The sequence below is a fragment of the Homo sapiens genome, chromosome 13 (genome assembly GCF_000001405.40).
Source record: "Homo sapiens chromosome 13, GRCh38.p14 Primary Assembly".
Classification (NCBI taxonomy): Eukaryota; Metazoa; Chordata; class Mammalia; order Primates; family Hominidae; genus Homo; species Homo sapiens.
In genome coordinates, this window is record NC_000013.11 from 84020180 (window position 1) to 84026803 (window position 6624).

Sequence of the window (6624 nt, forward strand, 5' to 3'; positions counted from 1 at the left end):
TGAATTATAATTTAGATTTTACAGTGATTATTTTTGGCAATTCCAAGACATATAACCTAGCAGGCTGTGGAAAAAATAGTAGGACCAAACCATTTGATTGCTCTGCATGTTAAAAAAGCCTTACCTCTTTGAGAGAAGAAAGGGTAGTGAAGAGTAGGGCCACCAGGATTTCATAAGTAAAAAGATGATGAAAATATTTTCTTTATAAGTCCAGTTCCCCTAGTTGGGGATGATATGTTTCATTGGCAAGTCACCCTAATGAAAATTAATGAAAGTCCCTTTAAGATTGTCTATTCCTTTTTGGCAATTAATTTTTTTACAAACCACCTCTTCAAGCCACCTGAGGTTGAATTTAAAGTAAGAATTTATCATCTAACTATTAGTAATGGCACCATTGGTTGTGATACTCTAAAATCACAATGGCTTCTTGCTTTAACTATTTCTAAAGGTCTTTTATCCATATGTTCACTGCATGTACTCCAAACACAGATGACCCCCCCCCAATGCCAGTGATTGTACAGATCTATAAAACAGACAGAAATAAGAATAACAGAATATCTTAGTAATGAGCTCAGTAGTATAATGTGTGATGCTACCTTCATGTCCAAATAACCTACATTATAGTTGAAATAAGCTTTAATATTTGTTAGAAATAATAATTTAAGTTCCATACACAGGGGCTAAAACAAGATTTGATTGTGGGAGAGTCTGATCAGTCTATCTAGAGTCTCTGTCACCATTGTGGTAAATCAATATTCAGATGCACATGAGTAAGAAACCAAACCTGTGACTATTGAAAACAGGAAAGTGCTGGACACAAAGCCTTTTTATCTGGCAAAGACTATGTACTCGGCATTAGAGAACTCTCAAAATGGGAGTGATGTTTACTTTTGGGATCTGAGAATATTCTAACACTGTAAGCAGAAGACCCATGAAGATAGAATATTCATTTTCTAAATAGAATATACTTTGAGAATTATGTCTCAAGAGCATCATTTTCAAGCCAATAGAAACTTATTACTGGCTTGGACTGCCAAGGAGCTTTCTAGTTCCCCAGCTTCTCCTGAATGATGGAACTAAGTTGATAAACTAGAGAATTCAGGCCTCCAGAATAGAGCTAAAAGTGTTTTCTAGTGTCATCTTGGTAAAGGGCACTAAGCCAAGAATTACACATCCACACATTTTAGGATGATTAGCAACTATTCTTTTAAGGAATTAATTTAGGGAAGAGTAATTAATTTCAATGTCAACAGTGGCACAAAGAGATTAAGAAAATTGCTCTAACTCCCAAAGCTAGTAAGTGGAGGAATGTGGTTGAATCTCTGTCTTCTTGCTTCAGATGTCTGTTTTTCCTTCACGTTACAAATAAATGAATGCCGTGAATTATTGTCACTCATGGTATGAAACAGAATTTTCTCAAGGGAGAGAAAAGCTAACTCATAATTTCTCCAGTTGCTTAAAGGGAACCTAGATGATTTTCATCAAATACATTGTTTTCAGATTTGGAGATTACCTTTCCAGAACAGCTTAGGAATTATCCTTGACACTTTCTCCAGAGTCACTGTATGCCAAATATCATGGCAACTTTTAAAGATGGATTAACTATACATTTTCTAGTTTTTTTTTGGAGATAGTGATTCAGTTTTGTGAGTTAATTCCATAAAAAGCAAGGGACTTTTAGTTCTAAAATTTTAAAGCAAATGCTAGCTGGATTATGTTATTCTCATTTTGGAAAGACTATATTGATTGGCTATAGAAAGAATCTAAACATATATAAACAGAAATTAAACACATATCATAATACATGTAAATATTGAAAATTTGAATAATAGGAAAAATACATTTTTATGGTTTTTGTTGGAATAGCTTAGATATGATTTACTTTGTGGGCTCATTCTCTTCTGAGGGAAGGAATCAGAGGTGCACAGATCTTGATGTGCATGCTTTCACTTTACATGGCCCACAGGTTGAATTCTTAAACTAATATTTACAATATGCAAAGGTTTATGAGTTCATAATCCCCCTTTTTTGTCTAAGAAGAAGAAATTATTTTAATTTAAAACTACACTTACTAGAGTATTTACCAATTGGGAGTGAAAGATCAGATTCAAGAAACAAATAATTCCTCAAGAAAGGAAAGAAAGTTGTGGGTCATTTTGTAACTTTTTTCCTGTGGCTTCACATAAATCCCATCTCAGGGAAGCAATGACACACATAAGGTTGATTTGTACTTTAAAAGTGTGTCCTCATAGCATTACATAATGTATAATGCTTAAAGTGTAGTGTCAAAGGCTTTCTTCAGCCTTCTTATCTGTCTTTTTTTTTCCATTTTAAAGTATACATATGCAACATTAACTCACAAGTGTGCTTTTATTTTCATTTGCTTCTAACTATATGGAGACAACTTATTCTTCAATTAGAATTGTGTGTTTATCTTCTTTGTAAGTTCTCCTTACTCTTATCTAAAATGTTACATTACTTAAACTACATTGCCCCTGCTTGATTAAATTTTCAGTTAGGAGTTAAGTGCCATGATGTAAGAGACAATTATAAGCAGAGCCATGCTGCAAAGTACATAATTAATTAGGCCATTGAATGTATACTTTATCTCCTAAAAGAAACCTATGCCAAGCACTAATACAGAAATCATGAAAACAGACTATTTGCTGAAATAGAAAAGTTACAGAGGAGAACAAATAGGAGAGGAATGTTATTCATGTTTGAAAGTAATTTACTCCTATTGTGAGCCTCAAAAACAATTTGTATCTGATTCATACCTCCCAAAATTTGATTTTAAAAATTACTTAAAAGAACTAGACATTCAGTGCTATAAATTTGAAATCGACAAGTGACAATGCTGACTAATTCTTAATGGTAAAATAAGTGATCAGATAGACAACTAAGTAAAATAAAACCCTTGGATTACTCACTGTAACTGATGAGTACTTGAGGATAATGAGTGTTTATTACACAAGGGCAATATTATGGAATTTCTAGTTCAAAAGGGAAAGTATTAAGTTATCATAACATAGCATCCATCATAAGGAGAATTTTCCATGGTATTCCTAAAACAGCAAAGAGGTAGGCCTTACTATTGCCAATTAGGGGAAATAAGACTTGGGGAGCTTAATAAAGCGGAGAGAATCTTAAATTATAAATAAGATTTAAAAGGTGAGGAATGAGGAGGGCAGGCAAGGCAACAACAGCATCATCATGAATAATGGCACAGCAACACTAAGAGGCAGATATTTTTAGCAACACTGAGAAATCTGTTGCTTTTTTCATCAATTATAAATAAAGCTGTTATAAACATCTGTATATAGCAGTTTTTTGTGTGGACATGAGTTTTCCACTCATTTTGGTAAATACCAAGAAGTAAAATTGTTACAGTGCATGGTAAGAGTATATTTAGTCTTGTAAGAAACCACCAAACTGTCTTCCAAAACTGTTTTATCATTTTACATTCCCATCAGCAATAAATGATAACTTCTCTAACTCCACATTCTCCCCAGCATTTGGTGGTATCTGTGTTCTGGATATTGGCCATTCTAAGGAATATGAAGTAATATCTCATGGTTGTTTTAATTTACATTACTCTGATGACATATGATGGTATATGTTTTCATGTGCTCATTTGCCATCTGAATATCTTTTTTGGTGAAGTGTCCTTTAAGGTCTTTGGTCTAGTTTTCAGTCAGGTTTTTTATTGTCTTATTGTTGAGTTTTAAGTGTTCTCTGTATACTTTTAATAACAATCTTTTATTTGCAATGTTATTTTCAAATATTTTTTCCTGATCTGTGGCTTGTCTTTTAATGTTCTTGACAGTGTCTTTCACAGAGCACATTTTTAAAAATTAAGTCCAGATATCAATTATTTCTTTAATGAATCATACCTTTGGTATTACATGTAAAAAGTCATCAACCAAACTCAGGGACATCTAGATTATCTCCTATGTTATCACCAAGGATTTTTATAGTTTTGGATTTTACATTTAGGTCTGTGATCTATTTTGAGTGAATTTCTTGGTGAAAGTATGTAAGATCTATGTCTAAGATTTATTTTGTAGTTGTTTGCATGTCGAAATTCTCTTGGAAGCAACTAAGATGTCCTTCAGTAGGTGAATGGATAAACAAACTGTGGTACACTTAAGACAAAGCAATCTATTCTTCATTGGAAAGAAATGTGCTGTCAACCATGAGAAAACATGGAGGATATTTAAATGCATATTGCTAAGTAAAATAATCCAACCTAAAAAAGCCCTATGTATTATGTAATTTGAACTATGTGACATTCTTCAAAAGGCCAAATATAGACACAGTAAAAAGCGCAGTTGTTGCCTGGGGTTAGAAAGGAGACAGGGATGGATACCGGGAGCACAAAAGACTTTTAGGACAGTATAACTTTGTGTGAAACTACAGTGGTGGATAAATGTCATTATACATTTCTCTTAACTCATAAAATGTATAGTGGCAAGAGTGAACTCTAACATGAACTGTGGGCTTGGGGTAATAATGATGTGACAGTTCAGGTTCATCAGTTGTAACAGATGTACCACTTTAGTGGAGAATGTTTATAATGGAGGAAGCTACACATGTGGCACAGAGGATACATGGGAAATCACTGCTAATTCTCTCAGTTTTGCTGTGAACTTAAACCTCTCTTGAAAATAAAGTCTATTTAGGCTGGCGCCATGGCTCACTCCTGTAATCTCAGTACACTGGGAGGCCGAGGCGGCTGGATCACCTGAGGCCAGGAGTTGGAGACCAGCCGGGCCAACATGGTGAAACCCCATCTCTACTAAAAATACAAAAATTAGCCAGGCATGGTGGCGTGGCAGGCATCTGTAATCCCAGCTACTCGGGAGGCTGAGTCAGGAGAATCTCTTGAACCTGGGAGGCAGAGGTTGCAGTAAGCTGAGATCATGCTACTGCACTCCAGCCTGGGCAACAGAGCGAGACTCCATCTCAAAAAAAAAGAACGTCTATTTAAGAAATAAAAAAAGTTCATTGGGAAAGGAAGTTGATCAAGGTCAAATTGTGAAGGACCTTATAGACAATGTTTAGAATTTTGAAGTTAAGCTAGTAAACTTTTCTAGATGGAAAAAAAAAAACCCCAAAACCCACAAAACAAACAAAGAAAACCCACTTTGTTAAATGCAGAATGGAACCCTGGAATCTAAAGTTGGAGGTCATTTATTTCCTAGTAATAGTAGAAATAGATGTAACTCATTTTCAGAGATTTATTTTCTGAGATTTTTATTTACAGCCCACAATTTCAGAGACCTGTGTTAAAAGCACTTTCTTCAGAAACAGCTCAACTGAGGGCCATTTTGAGACCGGATACATTCTCTTTCTCTTTTTGTGTTAACAGCAGCAGGATTTTTTAACCCAATTTTATATATTTTTAAGTCTGCTAGAAACAGATGTTTTTAAATAAATTGTAAGGAAAAGCTTTTGCTGGTGGGGAGGGGGAATTTGCTTACTCACAGATATTTTGTCATTCCCAACTTTTCAAAGTGTGTTTGTGAGTAACTGTTATACATATGGTCTAGTTCCAGGAAATATCTGACACATACATTTTTGTTCTTAATTATAACTGAAATTAGGTTGTTTGTGACTGTTCTGGGTCATTAATTAACTCTGTCAATGCTGTGATCTAAGCTATTGGAGGAGTATTCTGTCTATTCTTTAAGTAAAAAAAAATAGTCTCTTGTCTTTGGGACAGACAAAGCACTGCTGCACAGCTGCTAAGCACACCAGCTTCAGAAACAAATTGAGTTGTGAGATTAAACACCAGGAGACAGTTAGGGTTTTTCAAATTTGCATGGCTAATGTAAACAGCCCCAAGATCTCATCAGTGAAAGTTGGAAGGGACTTGGTGGGTGGGCTTTCTTTCCCCTGCTGGGAAAAGCAATGATTAGCCCTTGAGGAAATGAAACAAACCAAAACAAAAAGTTGAATCATAAAAACATAGCATGAACACAAACAGCATATTTAAGACTTAGTTTATTCTTTGATGCATGAATATCGAGATAGTATAAAATTCACCTGTAAAATCATCTTGTTATTTTAAGTCTCAAACTTTGTGGTTGTAAATATGCCTTTTTAAATTTTCAAAATGGACAAATAGTATATGCTTAACTAACTTAATGGTTTTATTTATATTTAATTTATCTTCTTTATGAAAGCTTGTTATCCTTTTCAAGAAATATACTTTTATTACAGAAAGATCAACAATCTACTTATTCGTTGACATTAAAACAGTCACTGATTTCTTGTTATCTTCTTTTATAATATAGCTTACATCTACTACTTCTTTCTTATTTTTGCATTTACCACCTACAGTTTAATATGTATGATGTTACATTTGTGATTCTGCAATAGCTGTAAAAATGACCTTCCTGCCCTGGATCCCTCTGATCATTTCTGTATGCTTTAACAATATAAATCTTTCTAATCAATGAAGGTTGAGGCCTTGAAGAATTCTTTATGGTCATGCCCCTGTGCCCAAGGTAGTTTCTGACATAGAAGATATATTTGTCCCTTTATTATTTTCAGATGGATGATTAGATGTTACTACCCAAATTAAAATAATATTGAGCAAAATCTAAAATGCTGTTCATT

The 6624-nt window shown here is 34.1% G+C and overlaps 1 pseudogene, besides 1 other annotated feature; it reads left to right on the forward strand.

Moving 5' to 3' along the window:
- On the forward strand, nucleotides 212-648 carry UBE2D3P4 (ubiquitin conjugating enzyme E2 D3 pseudogene 4; annotated as a pseudogene).
- Nucleotides 5578-6145: an enhancer, noted in NCBI's record as "NANOG hESC enhancer chr13:84599892-84600459 (GRCh37/hg19 assembly coordinates)". NCBI's record gives its function as "activates a minimal SCP1, AML or CMV promoter by ChIP-STARR-seq in naive H9 embryonic stem cells {active_cell/tissue: H9 hESC(naive)}" and the evidence as "EXISTENCE:reporter gene assay evidence [ECO:0000049][PMID:30033119]".